Source organism: Homo sapiens, chromosome 18 (genome assembly GCF_000001405.40).
Source record: "Homo sapiens chromosome 18, GRCh38.p14 Primary Assembly".
Lineage (NCBI taxonomy): Eukaryota > Metazoa > Chordata > Mammalia > Primates > Hominidae > Homo > Homo sapiens.
This window is the reverse complement of record NC_000018.10, coordinates 26,483,024-26,505,246: the sequence shown is the minus strand read 5'-3', so window position 1 is coordinate 26,505,246 and position 22,223 is coordinate 26,483,024. Positions and strand designations below refer to the sequence as shown.

Below are 22,223 nucleotides of genomic sequence, written 5' to 3'. Positions count from 1 at the left end.
TGAGGACGATGATGAACGACAGAAGGCTCTGCTGCATCTCAGCAGGCAGCCATGCTTGGCATCCCTGGCCAAGGCCCCCAAGCCAAATGACCTCGCAGGGAAGCAGCTGTGTAACAGGAAGGATTCCTTATCAAGACAGGTGGCAGAAATCCCATTTCAAACTAGCTTTACAAATACAGAAATTTATTTTCCCAAGTCACAGGAAATCTAGAGGTGGGAGGCTGAGAGATGGCTGATGCAGTGTGTCAACAATGTCAGCGAGGACCTGGCTTCCTTCCAGCTCTCAGCTCTGCCATCCTGGGCATTGGCTTCATCCTTAAATTGGCAGGGAGATGGCAGCTGCAGGTAGCAGCATCCCATCCTGGACTTCAGTGTCCATCCAGGTGAAGTTGAGAAAGTGTCAGCTCCAGCTACTGGCCAAGGAAGAGGTTGCCACAATTGTGTTAGATGAAACATCTGGAGTCAATGGGATACATATTGAGCATCAACTTCAGTGTCTAATACAAGTGCCCAAACTCTCAGCCCCAAATATCGCCCCCCCAACCCCAGCCTAAGGATTTTAAAAGTTCTTATATATCAGGTACAGTGGCTCACACCTGTAATCCCAGTGACTTGGGAGGCTGAAGCAGGAGGATTGCTTGAGGCCAGGAGTTCAAGGCCAGCCTGGGCAACACAGTGAGACCCTTGTCTCTAAAAACGTTAAAAATAAAAAATTAGGCCAGATGTGGTAGCTCATGCCTGTAATCCCAACACTTTGGAGGCCGAGGCAGGAGGATCACTTTGAGCTCACGAGTTCAAGACCAGTCTGGGCAACATGGCGAAACCCTGTCTCTACTAAAAATACCAAAATTAGCTGGGCATTAGTGGCCTGCGCCTGTAGTGTCAGCTACTCAGGAGGCTGAGGCTGGAGAATCGCTTGAGCCTGGGAAGTGGAGGTTGCAATGAACTGAAATTGCACCAGCCTGGGTGACAGAGTGAGACCCTGTCTCAAATAACAATAATAATAATAGTTAGCTGAGCGTGGTGGCACGTACCTGTAGTACCAGTTACTTGGGAAGCTGAGGTGGGGGGATCGCTTGATCCCAGAAGTTTGAGGCTGCAGTGAGCAGCTTTGATCACACCACTGCACTCCAGCCTGGGCAACAGAGAGAGACTCTGTCTCCTAAAAAAAAAGTTCTTACAATCTGCCCCATATGGAAAATACCAAGTGAAAAGCTCTGACTGTGTTAACTAGTATCAGTTAATGCCTTAGAAATGAGCGCAGCCACAGCAACCCTGCAGAAAGAGGAGAACATCCAGGATGGGGAAAGCGCCTAGGAGAACCAAGAGGGCTCACCAAAGGAGGGCATTGCTAATCCTTGCCCTTAAGGGCCAATCTCCACCCCACCCCACCCCCACCCCCAGCTGAAGAAACACTGGTTTAATTTTAAATTTAGCAATATCCATTGCATTTATGACTTACAGTGTAAATGGTATATATTCTGAGAAATCTGGAATGCTTCAACCGATCAGTTATGCTTTCATTTTTTTCTCTTTCTGTACAGACCTGGCAGTGTTAGAGCCATGCTGAATGAGGTCACAGTCTAACGACAATATTAACCCTGCAAATCTGTTCATTTTCGCCTGAGCACCCTCAGGCAGGATAGAGAATGTGTCCAATTGAAAAACTATTACAGACTCTGCCGCGCTGTGATGGGCTGAAATGTAACAGGGAGGGAGGTGTGTGTGTGCCTGTGTGTGTGTGTTTGTGTGTCCGTAGCCAGGAAATCATTTTCTAACAGGAAGTCAGTACGTATCTCTTAAAAGTGGAGGTTGTATGATTGCATTTTTAAAGGAAAAATATGTTTTCTGTCATCCAGATTTTAAAATGCTACTTTTAGTATTTCTGAACCTTACCTGTTTCATATTTCCTACCAACTGTCTTGTTTTTTTTATTTTTTTCCAATACCCAATACCCCTTTAACTCCTCTTCTTTGTGTGTTACAAACATCCTGTTGTGTTTTTCAATATCTATTTTGCATTGTTAAAAATATCTAGAAACATATAAAGAATAATGTAGTAAACACCCTTGAGCCGACCAGCCGATTTAAGAACTAAAACATTAACTCTTTTTCTATAACTGTTTCTAGGCTCTGTTAATTCAGCATGTAGAAACGCACAACACAGATGGTAAACATTTTGCGTAAAGGCCCAGTCACCACCCCATTCACAGTAGATGTTGAGCTTCAGAAAGCATGTGCATTCACAGTCTTGCTTGGACATGTGGTTAATGCTAAGTAGTCTAACAGTTGTGCCCCAGGTAACTCCTGAAGCTGTTCCAGATCATAAAATCTATGATGTTTTGCAAATTTATATTTTATCATGCTGCATTTTATGCACAAAAACTAGATGACTTCCCCTTTGTGGTCTCCATCAAAGGCATTTTTCAAAATCCCTTCAGTGTGCCTTATCCCTGGCTTTGCCATACATTGTTTGCATGTTTGAAAACAATCTTTGGCTAAAATTATAAATCTGAGAGTATACGTGTGTCATCGGTGTTACAGAATTTGTACATAAATGCTATTTTAGCTTACTCTTCAGTTAGATACTCTAAATGTTTGACCCCTTCATTGAATACCAGAGACCTATCTTTACTTGTCTGTGGTTTGGGCTCTAATTGAAAAGCAAACAACCGTGTTTTGATAGCATTTGAAATATTTATATTGTATCCATGGAAAGGATGTAATAATTTATTTTCTCAAGAGTATAGTTTCTACCTGGGTGAGGTGGTTCACGCCTGTAATCCTAGCGCTTTGGGAGGCTGAGATGAGCAGATCGCCTGAGCCCAGGAGGTCAAGATCAGCATGGGCAACATGGAAAAACCCTGTTTCTACAACAAATATAAAAATTAGCAGGGCGGGCTGGGCACGGTGGCTCACCCCTGTAATCCCAGCACTTTGGGAGGCCGAGGTGGGCGGATCACGAGGTCAGGAGATCAAGACCATCCTGGCTAACACGGTGAAACCCCGTCTCTACTAAAAATACAAAAAATTAGCTGGGCGTGGTGGCGGACGCCTGTAGTCCCAGCTACTCAGGAGGCTGAGGCAGGAGAATGGCGTGAACCCAGGAGGCGGAGCTGGCAGTGAGCCGAGATCGTGCCACTGCACTCCAGCCTGGGCGACAGAGCGAGACTCCATCTCAAAAAAAGAAAAAAAAGGTACAATTTCTTAAACATGTTGTTACTGCCACCAGGTGATATCCTCATTCTGGTCTGTTTGCTCACATTGCACCTTTGCTTGTGCAACCGCACATCAGCATCTGCCTCAGTTACACTTTGGGAACTTGATTTCTTCAAGAAGTCAGGCATGCAGAAGAGCAGTTCGCTTGTGGTTCATGAGCAAGCACATATTTATCATTTGAGGGTATATTCTGTTGACTGATGAACTTGTGGTATCTCTTTGCAAGGTTGCTTTAAGTATGTGAGCTGATGGCTAGACCAGTATGCTCTCTTTTTCCTGATTTGAAAAATGAAAGTTTAAGAAAACATTTTGTAGAACACAGGTGTCAGAGGTCTGTTTTTATTCCAAGTGCATAGCAATGAGGAAGTTTTCAAAGAGAGGGCTAACTCATACGCATTTTATTTAGATATGTATTGTTTGAAGTGTTTGATTGTCATTTTATTTGGAATGAATAGACTTTTCATATCATACTAGTTGCCATGTGTCAATTGTTAAATGCAAGAATTTCTTAGTATAATAAGCCTTCATAGTCCTCAGAGTTATTTGAAGTGAACATTAGTTCAGCTCCTTATTTCTGAGCATGTGAAGATTTCCTTTTCTTTGCTACAGAATTGGTTTTTCTGATATTCATTATAACAAAAGCAAGAGCTTGCCGGTTTTTCAGGTTTTATTACTGAATGAGTATCGTTAATCACTCGTTTATTCTTTATGCTATATGTATTTCCTATCTTTCTACTGTAAAGAGAAAAAGTATCTAAACTTGCTTATCTCTCTGTAGGACAGTCGGCCCAATATGTCAAGACCTCTGATCACTAGATCCCCTGCATCTCCACTGAACAACCAAGGCATCCCTACTCCAGCACAACTCACAAAATCCAATGCGCCTGTCCACATTGATGTGGGCGGCCACATGTACACCAGCAGCCTGGCCACCCTCACCAAATACCCTGAATCCAGGTAATCTGAAAAACTGAAAAATCAGACTCCGACGTGCATGTATTTGGTAACCTGTTTTTCCTTTGACCAGCATAGCAGTGTAGCCTCGTGGAGGCAGGGGGCAGGATGTGAAAGTGCTGTGTGAGCCACCCTGCTGCCTAGGCTGGATGTCTTGGACAATGGCTGGACATCTTCGAATCAGGATTGGACCCGCAGCTTAGTTGAGTCCATGTAAAAATGTCACAGGAGAATGGAATACTGTGATATTTTGCTCTACAATGATATTCATAATTCTCAATGTAGTACAAAAAAAGATGGTGATTTCTCCCCAACACCTTTGTTCCTTCCTTCTTTAAAAACATGCTTTCTTATAGGTTCTGATAATTTTATAGGAGATCAGTTGGTTCATCAACTTGTGAACTAGAAAAAAAAGAGATTCTCAGCAGTGAGGCATTATATTTAGATCTGTATGCAAAAGTCCAAGAAGCCAAAATAGTATAGTTTACAAAAAATGAAGGGCCATGGAACTTACGAACTTAAGGTAGATAAATAAATATACAAATTGTTTAAAGATGGAGAGTGATTTACAAGTAGGCAGTATACATTTATGTTTATGAGATATCTCCTCCCATGCCCCTGCCCACCCATTTTTTTTATTATTATTATTATTTTGGAGCCAGGGTCTTGTTCTGTCGCCCAGGCTGGAGTGCAGTGGTGCAAACATGGCTCATTGCAGCCTTGACCTTCTGGGCTTAAGTGACCCTTCCACCTCAGCCTTCTCAGGAGCTGAGACCACAGGTGCATGCCCCCATGCCCAGCTTTTTTTTTTTTAAATTTTTTGTAGAGACAGGGTCAGACTGTGTTCCCTAGGCTGGTCTTGAACTCCTGGCCTCAGCAATTCTTCCGTCTCAGCCTCCGAAAGTGCTGGGACTCTAGGTGTGAGCCACTGCACCTGGCTAATTTTTTTATTTTTTGTAGAGATGGGGTCGCGCTATGTTGCCCAGACTGGTCTCAAACTCCTGGCCTCAGGCAATTCTTCTACCTTGGCCTTGGCCAAAGCGCTGGGATTACAGGTGTGAGCCACTGCACCTTGCCCCAACCACCCATTTCTAAAGGAGTTCCAAAGAAATAATTTCCTTTCTACCCTGGGACAACCCTCCTGGCTCTGCCCCAGATTTGGGGGCTATGTCCAGATCCTGTAAGGGAAGTTTTTTGCTGGTGGATAGGGGAGGAGGCATGCATTCATGTAGGGTAATGTCGGGAAACAGGGCATTTCTCTGTTTCTGATCACAGGAACTGGAAACACACTCCTTGAGCTTCAGAAGGGCACCGGCCACATTTTTCAGAATGTCTTATGAAGTGACAGATAACAGATAGCTTACAGTCTAAGTAGACACCACTGACATAAAAGTCACTGTCACCTTGCATACTACATGAAGGCCGACTTTTTGTTTTTTGTTTTAAAATCTCACTCCATTACTTGATAATTTATGAAAGAATGTGAAGGTTGGAAAGAAGAAAGATGAAATGTTTTCTCTCTTAATTTCCAGATTTAATTTCTACAATTGAAATGATTTAAATAAAATAGGTTTCCATTTGTTCAATTATCCAAAAGACTATATACTTTAAAATGAAATGATTGTATTAGTCATCTATTAGTATTATTTAGTCCCCACCTTCCCTAAGTATATTGGAATAGGTACTACGAAAAATCATATTATAATAATGGCTTTATTTTTCAAGAATTTTGTTATATAAGTAGTGTTCTTTTTGAAAATGCCTGTTTCCATTCCTTCCGACCCTCTGTTAATACCACCATCAACTACAGAAAATCACAGCTGCCTCTTTAGATGAATTTAATTCTAGGGTTTAAGTCACAAAATGCATATTAAGAGACAAAAAAGCAAACCTTCAACTGTAGCAAGATTTACTGGTCTGGTCTGATGGCCTTTTGCTTCAGTTTCTGTAAATTAAACCTTGAGACAGGAGGGAAGTTAATAAAAACTATATTTTCTGTGACTTAAGCAATAGGTTTTCTTCTATGCTCATTGTAACTAGGTGGGTCTCCTTCCACTGACTCATTCCCGCCAGGATTTAGCCCCTGGGAAGCTCCCTGGTATCACTTGGTCTCCTGGCCAAAGTAGAAGACAGAGGGAGAGAGGCTCTATTCATTCAGTTCCTATCTCTCAAATAATTTGCTACTTTCATTATTCTGGCGCTATATATTATGAGGTAAAGACTTCAAATAGTGTCCCATTTGGAGATGCTTTCTCAGCCCATCTTTCCATGGATATTTCTAAGAGTCTATTTTTGTTCCTTCTTATCCAAACCCTGAAACATGCATCAAATTCCATGGATCTCATCACTTTATTTACCTGCGCTGTGTCATACAGTAGCCAGTAGCCACGTACAGCTATTGAGCGCTTTAAATAGGCCAATCCAAATTGAAATATCATCTAAGTTTGAAATATACACTGATTTTTAAAGACCTAGTACCAAAAAAATGTAAACTCAGTAATTTTTTAAATTGATTTCATGTTGGAATGATAATATGTTGAGTTAAATAAAACATTATTAAAATTAATTTTACTTGTTTCTTTTGATTTTTTAATGTGGCTACTAGATAATATAAAATTACATGTGTCTTGCTGTTTATTTCTGTTGGACAGCGCTGAACTATGAAACAGATGTTTTTATAAAAGCATCTCACTAAACCTACCCCTCCCCTAACCTGATACTGAAATACATAAAAAAGCGAGTGTCTCTTTCACCAACGTAATTAGAAAAGATAGAATTGTTGATCTTCCTTTCCTAGACTTGCCCTCTGCTTTCTGTCACCAGTGAGTCCTAGGATCACAGGAGCAACAGCAAAAATAATTTGTGATTCATTGGTTCTCGGATTGGATGCTGGCAAATGGCGAACAGTTCTTTGGCTATGGAAAGGTCTGATTTCTGAACACCTGTCATCTCTTGTGTAAAACAGGCACAAATAGGTCTCCTTGCAAGGTTACTGGGGGTATTAAATGTGATTGTGAAAAGCACACCGTGGCCCTGTGCCCAACATGTAGCATTGTCTTCATACTTAATCTTCTGCCAAACCCAGGAATTGTTTCTTCTCAAATTCCAAATATTTTCCATTTCTTGCTTTCCTAGCCATGGAAGCAGCTTTACATCTGGATTCTTGCCTGGATGACTCCCGTCTCAGGGGACTCCTGGCCTGCACCTTCTCCTCCTTTATCTTAAATACCCCAGCCGGTCACAAGTTCCGAGACATCCTTATCATTAGGAGATATCTTTAAGAATTTGTCAAGACTCTTTGAAACAAGCCTTACAAAGTAACTTCTGTTTCAGCTGCTAATACCTAAAGCAAATGACGCTGCTCAGGTAACACTGGTTTTGCTGTTGAATTGACCATTGGGTATTGCTTTGTTTCCTCTTGGGTTTTGGGGGGCGTATTTTTGTAGGTAATTAAATGTTCATGTCAAAGCAACATCCAATTTAATGGGACCCATACGCAAATTTTAGTAATCAAAGAAACAGAGAAGAACTAGTTCTTCATGCTTTTCCCATAGCGTCGGGTGCTCCTTCCAATTTCTGGGAAAGTCTCTTGCATATTATCAACCCCTCTTGGATAAATCCAAGGACATTAGGTTGCCCATGGCCATGGAATCACAAATAACTCCAGTTAGTTTTGTAGATTCTGGGGTGCTTCAAACCCTTCCTACCCTATGGGACCATTCTCTGCCCCACCCTCTTGGATCCCCTGGTTCCACCCTCACCTACCTCTTCCTTAGTGTCACCCAGAGGATAGGGGGGCTTTTTCTAAGATTTCAAGGGAAAGACCTGTAGTTTAAAAATACTAATTTGTATGTAACAAGTGACCTTAAAAGATATAATATTATCTTTCTACAATTTCAGAGTTCCTGCAAAGAACCTTTACTCCGTTTTGAAATGTTGTAGGTGTTTTTAAAATTCTGTCTCTACTTAACCTACCCTCTTGGCTAAAGAGCACCCTTAGAACTTTGTCCCCAAAAAGTACTATGATGGACTATACAGCTGAACATTAGAAGCACCTGGGAAGCATTAAAAAGCCATGCAAGGCCCTGCTCCAGACCAATAAAATAGGAACCTCTGCAGTTTTCCAAAGAGGTCTTGATTTTCACCATCTGACTCTGAATGGCACCAAGATGTATGATCCCTTCTGGAGAATGTAGGCCTCTTCCTCAATGATTATTTCATGTATCTCATAATGGCCATTTCACCAAAAGAAAATAGCTTTCAATCTTCATTTCTCTTATTACCAAGGTTACCAGTGGTTCCAATGCGTGTGTGTGTGTGTGTGTGTGTGTGTGCACATGCTTTTTTTTAGCTTGTAAACCCTGAGTAATGATTCAGTGAGTAAATTGACTTTTACACCTCAAGGTTAGCCACTCATGTTGTTCATTCATCTCCATCATCAGGTGTTTTTTTAGCTAAAGGGACTAAAGTTTTCAAATTAACTGAAGTATTACATATATCAGTAATGTATTTCTTCTTAACCAATGTGTATGTAAGATGCAAAACAGCTCTTTAGGAGGTGTTTCTGAGACAGAGGTTAATCTCCACCATCTGAGTGGTAAACACTGATTCCTTTCAGAGGCTCATAAGAGTCTCCAGTTCTGACTGCCATTTTGAATTGTAATCCCCAAGAAAAACACCCAGTTCAGATCTGCAATAATTTCACTTTAAATAAGTATGAAGTCAAGAAAAATATATTACCACCAAAAAAGAATTATAAATGGATAAAGAAGATAGAACATATTTTGTTTAATAGTTTGTTAGCTTGATTTGTAGCTTGTAAATATCTAGAAGTATGCAAAGTAGACCCTCCACTCGCACTCTTGCCCTGGACCCTGAAAATTTTAAGGGCAGACCTGATTATATCTTAGTCAAAAATCCAAGGCACCCTTTATTAACATCATTGGTAATAAAAGATCTAGGTAACTAAGTAATTTTTCATAAATAATTAATATTGGTACCATATTATATGGCTTCTTTAAGATCTACTGTTGACACTGAAATATCCTCTTAGCCACATGCATAATGAAAATACGTTCAATTTCTGCTTTAAAAGAAAACACGTCTGATTTCAAAGTTAGATCTATTCATTCTCTACTATTACCTCCAACAAAAACAATCTTAATAGCAGCTGTATTGATGGTTATTCAGATGTGGATAACCATTTTTAAAACCAAGAAGTAGATTGATACTACTAATTCATCGAACCTATCAAGTGTAATAGGTTATTACTATCAAGTGGTAATAAGACAAGGGTCTTAAATAAAAGCACTGATTGTCAACCAATGACCTAGAGGTAAAAGGTGAGATCTCATGTTTCAGTCCCCTCAGCCATCCAACCTGACTGCTTGACAAAGCTTTTGTATATTTTAAACCCAGTACATGAGTTAACTCCCACATAAGTAGATTATGTTAAATTGGTCTCTTCTAAATAGCAGTAGAGTTACTAAGCATGCTGGCATATGTAGGTAATTGCAAAACGCAAGAAACTCTACTTTCAGCCTTGCAGTCAACACCCATGGCCACCCAGGGGTGTGTGTATTTGGAGCTTTAGGATGGAGATGCCAAACATGTGTGCTCTGCCAGCAGCAATCCAGCTTTTGGCGTGCGTCATTCTCGGATGGGTTAGCCATTACCGGATTGCTTATGTGGAGCTACACCAAAAGGAAATTCAGACAACTGCAACACTAAGGGATTGGTGCATACATTCAGAGGATAATTGCATTCAACAATTTGGCTTTCCTTGTAACTGTTGTATGCCAGCCTAGGGAGTTTGCTGTAATCCTGTATTAGGGTTGGGGATTCTGTGCTATCACTTTTTATGACTTTACAGTTCCAGTTTTAACACTACAGTTCGTAGACATGGGTTCAGCAGCCTCATCGTGCAAGCCGTTGTTTTAGGATCTCAACAGAAATGCCAAAAAAAAAAATGCATTCAATTTATTCACTACACTTGCTTTCGGAATCACTGCATGACATGGAATAGTGAGCTTTTTATTATAACCTGCTCTCTACATCCACATGCTTTATAATTCAATGTCGATAGCAAATTTAAAAGTCACAGAATAGGTATTAGGGATTTTTAGATGAGTCTAAATCAACCTTCGTTATGTAGTCTCGGCACAGATGGAAAGAGAGCATATCCCTGCTGCTATGAAAAGTCTTAAGGAAACGCATAAAATGATGAACAGTTTTGGTTGGCAAGATGGGTTAATCTTTGAAAAAAAAAAGTTAGTTTATGGAGGAACTTAAAAGGGGGGAAAGCACCTGGCAAATGAAAAATGGAAAGTTTCTCCAGGGTAATAGAAGAAATTTTCCTCTTCTCTCTCTCTCTTCTTTTCATCTTACAATACTGCTTTTCCAAAATTGCTCCTCAGTTATATAGGTAAAGAGTAAATGAAATGGTTGGCTTCAAATGACTTTTAAAAAAACAATGAAACTGGATTTTATGTTTAGTGCTGAAAAGCCAGTCCTTCAGTAACTTACCTTGCACAACTGCTGGATTCAGCAAACTTCCTTTGCCACTAGGGAACAAAAAAGGCCTTATTTTTAAAGTAATCTAGCTCATAAAGTCTTCGAGCCTAATTTAAAGGAAAGATAGCCATACAGTGCCTGAGTTTCCTCTATTGTGTTTGTTTTTGTTTTGTCCTGTTTGATTGTTTTTTGAGACAGGGTCTTGCTCTGTCACCCAGGCTGGAGGGCAGTAGCAGGATCATAGCTCATTGTAGCCTTGAATTCCTGGGCTTAAGTGATCCTCCCACCTCAGCTTCCTGAGTAGCTGGGACTGTAGGCATGCACCACCATACCCGGCTAATTTTTCTATTTTTTGTAAAGACAGGGGTCTCACTATGTTGCCAGGGCTGGTCTCAAACTCCTGGCCTCAAGTGATCCTCCCACCTCAGCCTCCCAAAGTGTTGAGATTACAGGTGTGAACCACTGAGCGTGGCCCGTTCTTTCATTCTTTCAACAGACTTACTGTGTGCTCCTCATCTGCCAATGCATAAATAGTTACCAACAAAAGTCCTTGCTCTTATAGTTTACCTGGGCAAGGGCGAAGGACAGCCAGTAAACAAGTAAACCACCAGTAAGCAAGGTTTCAGTGAGTAGTGATATTAAGAAAAATATTTAGGTTGGTGCAAAAGTAATTGAGCTTTTTGCTAATGGCATCTAGGGTAGTGGGCTGGGGGTGGAGGGGAAGAGAGGGTGGTTAATGGGTACAGAAAGTATCTAGAAAGAACGAGTAAGACCTAGTATTTGATAGCACAACACAGTGACTATAGTCAATAATAATTTAATTGTACATTTTAAAATAACTAAAAGTTACAATTGGATTGTTTGTAATGCAAAGGATAAATGCTCGAGGGGATGGATACCCCATTCTCCATGATGTGGTTATTGTGCACTGCATGCCTGTTTCAAAGTATCTCATGTACCCCATAATATATATACCTACTATGTACACACAAAAATTTTCAAAAAAGCAAAAGAACATCTAGATGGAAGCGTGAGATCTAGGTGTTCTTTTTCTAGAACAAGAAAGAAAAGAACACACATGATAAATAGGCCCACTTTGACATATAGTTCTCTCCTTATATTAAAACTAATTTTATTCCTACATGTTTTTCCCCCCAAAAAATACATCTTTGTTCATCTATATTTTCAAGACAAAATCTAGTTTGCATGTCAGTTTAGATTTAGAAGCAGATTTTGTCACTATCACAAATCACACTGGATCTATGAAAATGAAGGCCACTCTGCTAGCCACAGACATCGCACATTTGCACCCCTGCCAGAGCTTCTGATGGCCAGATGAGTCATACTGGGTATCCTAACATGAAATAACTCAGGGCAGGACTCCGGGTCATACACTCAACTTCCAGTAACTTCTCACTTAACCCAAAACTCAGTCTCATCATAGACAGAAACCCTCTCCCTGGAAGGGAGGTTTCATCCTGTATCCTTGGGACCTGGTAGCATCCCAGCCGCAGGGTGGACATTCAAAAGTTTGTTCAATGTATAAATTAATGATTGGGTAAAATATTGTACTCAGAGGCCAGATCCTCCAAAGAATGAAGGGAAAATAATTGAGTAACGTTATTCAAATCATAAAGTTACATTTAAAGGCTGGGTTGGGTTTATTTCATATAACCTTATAGGTAGGGACGGTATTTATATATAAGGTTATATCAGATATAACCTTATAGGTAAGGAACTGTATTTATCCCTCTATCCCTACAGAGAAGAGCCCTGAAACTCTGAGAGGTTAAGTGGCTTCACCTTAAGAGTCAGTGTTCTTTGGGAAATGGGGTAAGAGCCAGGCCTCCAGCTCCCACTCTGACTCCATGATGCTTATTGTTTCCTCCTCTTTGATAACAATGGTTCTATTTATTTATTTATTTATTTATTTATTTATTTATTTATTTATTTATTGAGACAGTGTCTTGTTCTGTCACTCAGCCTGCGGTGCAGTGGCATGATCCTACCTCCCAGGCCCAAGCCATCCTCCCACTGAGTAGCTGGGACTACAGGCACACACCACCACATTCGGTTAATTTTTAATTTTTTATAGAGACGGGGTTTCACCATGTTGCCCAGGCTGGTCTTGAACCCCTGGGCTCAAGTGATCCACCCTCCTTAGCCTCCCAAAGTGCTGGGATTATAGGCATGAGCCACGGCTCCCAGCCTCATAATGATGGTTCTCAAACTCAGGGGCAGGTTAGAATCAACTGGGACTCAACAACAACAACAAAAAATTGCCTGCCCCTACCCCTCAAAGATTCCAATTTTTTTTTTCCAGATAGGGTCTCACTCTATTGCCCCGGCTGGAGTACAGTGGTGCAGTCACAGTTCACTGCAGCATAAACCTCCTGGGCTCAAGCAATCCTCCCATCTTAGCCTCTCAAGTAACTGGAACTACAGGTGCATGTCACCACACCTGGCTAATTTTTTATGTTTTTGTAGAGACGAGGTCTCACTTTGTTACCTAGGCTGGTCTCGAACTCCTGGGTCAAGTGATCCTCCTTGGCTTCCCAAAGTGCCAGGGTTATAGGCATCAGCCACCATGCCCACCCCAAGTGGGATCTTTGGATCCCAATTTTATTGGTCTGGAGCAGGGACTGGGCACAGGATTTTTTAATGTTTCCCATGTTCAGCCATATAGTCCAACACACCCCTTTTGGAACTGTGTTCTAAGAGTGGTTTTTAGACAAAAGGTCAAGTTGTCTATGATATTTCAAGCCACTTTCTTCTCAAGGCAGCCTTCACCTTATTCCCTAGCCAAGGGCATCTCTGTTAGTGCTGGGACATGGGTTACCCATGTGAGCCCTTCAGCCCCCGAGGAAGCCAGAGCTCCAGGCCAGTCACTTCCTGCCGTGAACAAAACTCTTGCTACCCTAGTGTCATACAAATATGGCACCATCATTTTCTGTGTGTATCATGACTTGGAACAGTTTGGAAAGGACCGCCTTGGACTGGGCAATGGGATAAATGGGTCTTGTTCTTATTTGCGTGTGGGTTTCTGAAGTCCTTTTCTTTCAGGCCCACATGTCCAGTGTGCAAGCCTGCCTGCAGCCAGGGACAAAGTTGACTTTGGACCAGTGACCTTGCCACTTGTCTGATGGCTCGTTGTTTGTACCTATGAAGAGAAAGTTGTTAGCAACAGTCAGTGACCAGCTTTGATCCTTGCACTGTGTGCCCACCGGAAAGAATGGTGCACTTGACAACACTGGGATATTGAGGGCTGCTCTCCAGGCTGGGAGGATTGAGGCCCATGGCTGTGTTAGTCACCACCCTCCTGCTGTGCCCTCCTTTCTTGTTGCTGCTGGAACAGTAGACCCCAAAACACCCCGCCAATGCAACAACCAGTGCGACACTCAAGGTTCACACTCCTACATGGAACACACATAAGCACGCATGCATGCATACACTCACACACCAATCCAGGAAACTTTGTTTAAATTTTTATTGTAAAAATATGCTCTCTGGGCCAGGTGCGGTGGCTCACACCTGTAATCCCAGCACTTTGGGAGGCCGAGGTGGGCGGATCACTTGAGCTCAGGAGTTTGAGACCAGCCTGGGCAACCTGGTGAAACTCCATCTCTACTAAAAATACAAAAATTAGCTGGGCATGGTAGCATGCACCTGTAGTCCCAGCTACTCGGGAGGCTGAGGCATGAGAATCGCTTGAGCCCGGGAGGCGGAGATTGCAGTGAGCCGAGATCACACTACTGTACTTCAGACCCTGGGCGACACAGAAAGACTCTATCTAAAAAAAAAAGCCCTCTAAACCTATGCCCTAGGTTTTAAAACAAATAACAGATCCGCCAGTAGTCTTCGGTGCCTGGCACAGAGCAAACACTTGATAAATATTTGTTGAATGTGAATGAATTTTGCTTAGTATCTCCCTTTATGACCTGGAGCAACTCAGCCACCCCAGGGCAGCTGCAGTGTGAAAGTCAAACATTTTGAGTCTTAGGTGCTAGAGTAGCCTTAGGACCTGCCTGGCCTAGTTTAATATGGGCAGCAAAGATTTACATCGTTTTTAATTCAAGGCACAAACCAGAAAGGAATTTTCTAGTCTCGCTATCCTGGAGGGAAAGAGCAATGAACCAGATTAACAGAAGAGTGTCCCCTGCCTTCAGAATGCTTTCCTCCAATTGATAGCTTTTCCCTAATCCCCCTGTGTCAGGGTCATCTCGAGGTACTTCTAATGATGCAGATTCCTGAGCTCCACCTGCTGTTTACTTAATCTATATCTCCCAGGTTGTGAGGAAAATCTTTAGTTTTAAGTTTCCCCACAATCCACATGCCTCTCCAAGTCAGGGCACCTGAGCTGCAGAGAAAGGTGGTGAGATGTAAACGCGTCACCATGCAGTACCATGGGCACCATGGTGGTGTGGCAGGAGACTCACTGGCAGAGTGAGGCCTTTCCTATTGACTCTGGCACAATCCACATCGCTTGGGACAATAATACTGACTGTACTCGTTTTTGATCAGTCATGAATAATATCATTGAGCAACACCCCAGGCATTTTTGCTCTGTTTTTTCATCGTATTTCGAGTCTACCCTTATCATACCAGAAAGAACTTTTATAATAATAAACCATGTGATTGATTTACTCGTTTGAAAAATTCATAAGCATTTCATAGAAGATTCAGATAATCTCTTACAACGTTAACATGTGACAAATATGCTCCACTTTACTGTGTCTTGAGAACAGTTCCATTCAAAGGGGTTTAAAATTTTAGATGTTATTTCATACAGCCCAGCCCACGAATCTCACACATCTTCTTTCAAGGATACCTATGCTATGCGTATGCTAGGCTGGAAGAAAATCCCGTACAAGTTATTCTCAAGCTGAGGAAATGTTTTTTATCAGGCCAACGTGGAAAATAACCTTTACCCCCAACTCCCAAACAGAAGCATTTATTCACACCCCAAAACCATGATGTTATAATTTTCATTTAAATATTCAGGATTGAAAGAAAAAAAACAGGCCAGGCACAATGGCCTGTAATCCCTACACTTTGGGAGGCCAGGCAGGAGGATTGCTTGAAGCTGGAAGTTCAACACCAGCTTGGGAAACACAGGGAAACACTATCTCTAACCCAAACTTCCTATGAGTAGTATCAGAAAGTCCCTCTGAAAGATATCTCATGGGTCCACTGCCACATAACTGAAACATGGATCACTGAAACGTGAGCTATGTTAGGAGAAGAGTCTGGTCCACCGCATCACCAGACAGTTCAGTCTATTATTATTATATAAGTCGCGTATAAAAATACCATTTCTTTTTACTAAAAATGCAGGATTTATAGCCTCAGTTAGATGAATTACCAATATTTGGCTTCTGAAAGATTACTCTCAAGCTGCCTGGAGATAGGAAGTGGTGACAGTTTGTCCCCAAAGCAGCCAGCTGCGTTGGTGCAGAATGCTTTCCGTGCTGGCCTTTCGAAGGTACCCAGGATGGTCCTGGTCCGAGCAGGGGATGAGAGTCAGGTGTAATCTTACGAGGTGTGTGTTTTTCATGCGTTCATATTTCAACAGTAGGCACCTGGAAGCTCCAATCTGACGGCAGTGACATTTGCAAATGAAAATGTTTTTTAAAAATCATGTTTCAGTGCCACAATTTTATCAGCTATTTGCCCGACTGTCTGAATCTATTCAAGACGTGGTATCAGTGGAAAAGACACTCGTTGGATAATGGCTTCCTGCTGCTACCGAGTGTCAAATGCCAAGTGTCAGTTTGCTTAGTAATAACATTGCTGTTTATCTTTTCTGGTGGTAATGATTATTTTTATTCTTATGCAACTTTTCTTATTGTGTTCTTCATATTCAGAAGATAAATTACAACTGTACATAACAGCTAACCACCACTTTCAAACAGTGGCAAACCTTGCCAGGCTGGGAGGGCTTCATAGCTGAAGGGTGAATTTGAGCTCGCCCAAACTTGTTTCTGTGATCGGAGCTGAGTGTGTTCCTGAACTCCCACCCAGCCTCGTTAAACTTGGCGAGGCCCCTCCCACCCCGCCAAAAATTGATTTTCAAAAAATAGCTTAGAAAGTCCTGAGGGCTTTAGAGCTTACCTAAAAACTGAAAACTCTCCTAGTCTCAAAGCAACACAAACAGTCAATATAAAAGAAAAAAAAAAGAATGCTCTTTTAAGTATATCCCACTGATCTGTAATCTTAGGGGCCCTAAAGAAGGTACATCATTAAAACATCATCATTTTGATGATACATTGCAGAAGGAACAAAATGGCATTAAGGGTGGAATTCAGAGAAAATGGACTGGAATAAAGGTTGTTGTATCAACCAAGGAAACCTAGGGAACCACGTTAAAAAAAAAAATGAAGTTCCATTCTTCACCCTAGCTTGATGTCTATAACGATTAGAAAAGCTGAACAGGGAAGATATGGTTTGTATTTCCAAGTACACCATGTGTCAGGCTCTTGAGGAACCCATTGATAATTCTTTATGCAGATTTTTAAATTAGAAAAGTATTTCTTTCTCACCCAGGCCTTCTGAATGAAAAGCTAGTGGAACAAGAAGTTATGGGAAGTGAAGTCATCAAACTACTACTAAAACTTTTCAATGCCTGTACATGATCATCTTAAAAGGAAGAGGAAAAAAATGAGGAATCCTTCTTAGCTGGGAAACTTTTATTTCTTGAAATGATTTTCAGGTTAGGGCTTGGTTCTGTTCTTTGAGGGGTAGGGAGAAATATTGATAGATATTCCTATCACCTAGCATGGCTATGGACTGGCTTGGGGCGTCTAGGTAAATTTTTGAACTATGATAAACCACGACTAAGCCCAGAAGGGCGTAGACAATTGCACAAGACACACACCTACAGACCGTGCATTGTTGGCCACAGTGCACCCAAGGGCAGAATGCTGTCAGCGCCTTCTTGGGTATTTCCCAACCACACACACCCACAAGTGTTGTCTTTGAATCATTAGCTGATATAAACTTAATATTTTTCACATGTCATTTTGATTTGGTGGCTATTTAAATAAGCTTGCGACATAAATTAGAAACCTTAAGCTTCTCAGAGCGTAAAGCCAACCAGGCACATCCTCCACTGTGATTTGAAGAAGCAATTAGACATTCTTAAAATGTTGGGTAATATGGACTTTTGATAGATTCTTTAAAATGTCTATATACTTTTGAAGTTGTATATTAGGATTCTTGTCCAATTTTCAGCTTTCTGTCCTCCTTTTCAAGAGATATAGCTCACAGTCCTGAGGCTGTCTCCTTCCTTTGACTTTGTCATTGCAAGGCTTAGGTTCTGAATGTGTTTTTAAGCTTCCTAGTCACTCTGACATCATAAACGACAGAATAATTCATTCCTTTTCATTCATCCAACCACCTTTCAATACTGTAGATATTTGAAGAGATATTCCGTTGACTGATACCATCAATGAAGTCGTGTGTGTGTGTGTCTGAGTATGGAGGGGTAAGGTGGGGGTGTGAAGGAATCAGGGTAGATTCAGTTACTTGCTTCCAGGTATCTTCTGTTAGGTGTCCAAAATGTATTTACCTAGTCTCTAAGTAAATTACGTCTATTTTCTAGTTCTTTCTTTTTGAATTAAGCGCTGTGTTAAGCCTCTGGTTTTTCACTTATAGGTAAAAAGCAAAAGATTTAAATACTGTTCTTTTGCTGGCATGATTGCAAGTGGGAAAAATTGTTAAATTGAAAATAGATATAGCTGGTTTGGCCATACTCCTCTCATAGTGTCATATAATTAATCTGACGTTTTTATATGAAGTGACTGCAGTGACATGCAAGTTAATTCCAACAGTCTGGAACAGTAAAACACCAAGGGAAATAATCAAAAAATAGGGAGAGACGGGGCCACCTGGAGAGCAGCAGTCACAGGGGGACGGGCCCAGAGTCTGTTCCATTTGTTAGAGCTATTGACACCACAGATGAAGAATCAAGAATGTTTCTTCACACAGGAAGGCCCCAGTCCAGTATTTAGGGTTGCGAATACTGAGAAACCCAGGAATAGGAACAGTCCTTCCAACACAGATTAGGTTCATTGGGAACACATGCAAAAGAGTTCGTTCTGTAACAAAGAGCGCAACTGCGAGATGAAGAAAGATTGGCAGGAGGTGCCAGAGCAGGAAAGGAGCTGGGACTTCTGGGACAGACGGACACTGTGAGTCGGGGACAGCATCGAGCATGTGCTGGCCCTCACTCTTCAGGGACAATAGACTGCGTAGCTCAGAAACCCTTGGCAAGTTACTCGATGGCTCTATAACTCAGTTTCTCCATCAGGAAAATCAAAATACTTTATAGAGCTGCAATAAGATTAAATCAGGGCCGGGTGCAGTGGCTCACACCTGTAATCCCAACACTTTGGGAGGCCAAGTGGGGCGGATCGCTTGAGGTCAGGAGTTCGAGACATGGGGGCTAACATGGTGAAACCCCGTCTCTATTAAAATACAAAAATTAGCTGGCCTAGTGGCGCACGCCTGTAATCTCAGCTACTCAGAAGGCTGAGGCAGGAAAATCGCTTGAACCCGGGAGGTGGAGGTTGCAGTGAGCCGAGATCATGCCACTGCACTCCAGCCTGGGCAAAAAAAAAAAAAAAAAGGATTAAATTAGATAATCCATAAAGTTTTTAGCGGAGTACTTGATACTCTTAATACATGTTAGCTATTTTAACATTTTTTTCTCTGAATAGCAATTATTATTGTGAAATGGAAAACACATTATGGAGTTTTAAATTAAGAGACTAAGGAGTGTATCAGAAATACCTCCAAATATAGAACAGTGTTGAGAGGAGGGTGGGCGTGGGCTGTGGGGCAGGTTCTGTGCATATGCTCATGCTTGCCTGCCCAAATAAAAAGCAAGGGAAAACCTAAACAGAAACTGTTCTAGCTGAAAAAAATACTAAATTGGGCTTCCCAGGGAGGTTATGATGATCTGATCCTCAACTGATTTTAGACAAATAGCCATTTACCCTAGAAATCATGTTTAAACAAACACTCAAGTCAGAGAACAGGCCCAGGTGATCTTAAAAGTTTTCTTTCAATTCAAGATGCATGCAGGATTTTCTATTCAGTCAGAATTCTGTTTTGGCATAGCACACTGTCTCCCAAGGATGCAAATCTGTCAGCATTTACCAAGGCCACGCACAGTGCTTTACTGAGCAGCAGAATGGCCACAGTGAGGATGTGGGTCCCAGCTGGGCCCTGCGGTCCAGCTGCCTGGTTGTGAATTCTGGCCTTACCATTGATTAGTTGGCTAGGTGTCCTTGCCTCTAAAATGGGGATAATGGTACCTACCTCATGGAGGTGTCAAGACTCTATACTGTGCCCTGCACAGATGAACACTCAGTTCAATGTAGGGCTTATTAGATATCCACTTATTCCTCATGAGAATTATTTGAGGTAGGTATTATCCCATTGCTCAGGTGAAGAAATCAAAACTCAAGGCAAGTTTCAAACCCAGGTCTATGGGTCTTGGAGCTGAACATGCCAGGAAGTTCCTAAGACATGACTGAAGGACTGTGCCAAAACTCTTGTGAATAATGGCGCCCTTATCTACCCCGCTCAGGTCAATACTGAGAGAAATGCTCCTCACTGGCTGTGTCTGTACGTCACCCATCAAACATCATGTTCTTTCCTGCCTCCGTGGCCTCCCTTCAGCTGAGCTCTTGGGCTAAAATCTCTTCTCCAAGCCCCTGTGCCCTTCCCCTTACTCCAAACCCTGCAGAGTCATTGCCTCCAGCAGGAGGCCTTCCCTGCCTGCCTAGGCCGGCTGGTTCCCTCTCCTCTGTCCTTCCGTGACACCCAGTGGGACCATATCATGCCCAGTTTAAGGCCCCAAAGAGCACAGGGAACATGGTGGGCATTCAGTAAATGAAGAAACAAAAAGTCTACTTATGTCAATTCTAAAAAGATTCAGTTTCATTGTAATAGTACTTTTCATAGTAAACAGTCAATGTAACCCTCTAATTTTTAAAAATTTTCTAACCGAAGTCAGGGGAGGATTAATAAGCTTACCAGAGAATCAGCTACCCCCGAGTGGCCCTGAGCCCTCAGTGATGGATTCTACAAAACGCCGAGTTCCTGACTTGTTATTGCACTCATACTTTTTCTTATATTTCAAACTTGCCTTTCCTTTCTCCCCTACTTTCTTCAGTTCTATGTATCATTTAAGAAAATGATGCCACCTCAGGGAACAGGTACTAGAAACATTATCTCCTCATAAGTAGATATAATTTGTTTTGTTTGTTTTTACTTAGAAGGTATTTTCCCCCTTCTCTTAAATTACTTCTATCCATTTCTATAACAAGCTCTGAATTAATTTTTATCTGTGTTCATGAAATATAGATGAAATTTCTTGAGTCTGGAAATCTTAAAGAGCTAGTCCTAGAATTTTTAACAGTTATAATACTTTAAACGAATTAAATGCTGTTTATGATAATGCAGACTTCTGAAACAACAAATTGACTGATGATATTTTTTACACTATAATTATCTCCAGCATCGCATTCCCTTTTTTAACAGAAAAACTTTTTATTATGGACATTTAAAAATATATGCAAAACAGGGAGAATACTTTTCTAAAGGTTTCATATATTAACCTAGCATTTCCTTCCCTTCCCCCCACTTTGTTTCATTCCTCTCTCATCTCAGCAGAAAGGAGGCAAAGGTTGCAACACCATCTCCTCTCTCCACGACTCCTTCCCTTCCTGCTGTCCTGAGTTTAGGTTGCACGTGCGGTGTCAGCTCTGCACATGCCTCTCATGTGTGCACACACACACACACACACATCTCCGTTGTGCATGCCCACAACTTACACACCTTCACCCAGCCTCCACCCTGGATTTGTCTATGTTAGGTTTCAGATATTAGGAAAAAAAGTTGGTTGAGAATCCAAATTAGTAACCATAAAAAAGTATGAAGCTACAAGTGCTTCCAAAAACAAAATGGTTCAATAGAAAAATACTCAGGCTGGGCGTGGTGGCTCATGCCTGTAATCCCAGTACTTTGGGAGGCCTTGGTGGGCAGGTTACCTGAGGTCAAGAGTTCAAGACCAGCCTGGCCAACATGGTGAAACCCCAACTCTACCAAAAATACAAAAACTAGCCGGGCGTGGTGGCAGGTGCCTGTAATCCCAGCTACTCGGGAGGCTGAGGCAGGAGAATCACTTTGACCCAGGAGGCAGAGGTTGCAGTGAGCCGAGATCATGCCACTGCACTCCAGCCTGGGTGATAGAGCGAGACTCACTCTCAAACAAAAAGAAAAAAGAAAAGAAAGAAAAATACTCTTTAAATCAGATTTTTTAAAATTAATTCCCTGCTGAGTGGTGGGCTCACAGCAGATTGTTCTTCTGTTTTGCTGCTCCTTCACCGTCTATACTTTTCCAGTTGACAACATAAGCAGGTATCACTTTTATAATTAAATATCTCCAAATGCTAAAGATGTCATTTGTAAGTAGCCTCTGAATCTCTTAGCCAGCAAAATAATTCTGGACCAGAAACTAAATGAAATCTT

The 22,223-nt window shown here is 41.6% G+C and overlaps 1 protein-coding gene across 6 annotated transcripts in view; it reads left to right on the top strand.

Annotated features, from left to right (window-relative positions):
• Positions 1–22,223, top strand: part of KCTD1 (potassium channel tetramerization domain containing 1) — a 202,564-nt gene that overhangs the window by 152,227 nt on the left and 28,114 nt on the right. For all 6 annotated transcript variants that reach the window (NM_001258222.3, NM_198991.4, NM_001258221.2 and 3 more), the window contains 1 exon segment: positions 3,997–4,175. In NM_001258222.3, the coding sequence (NP_001245151.1) occupies positions 3,997–4,175 (179 nt within the window).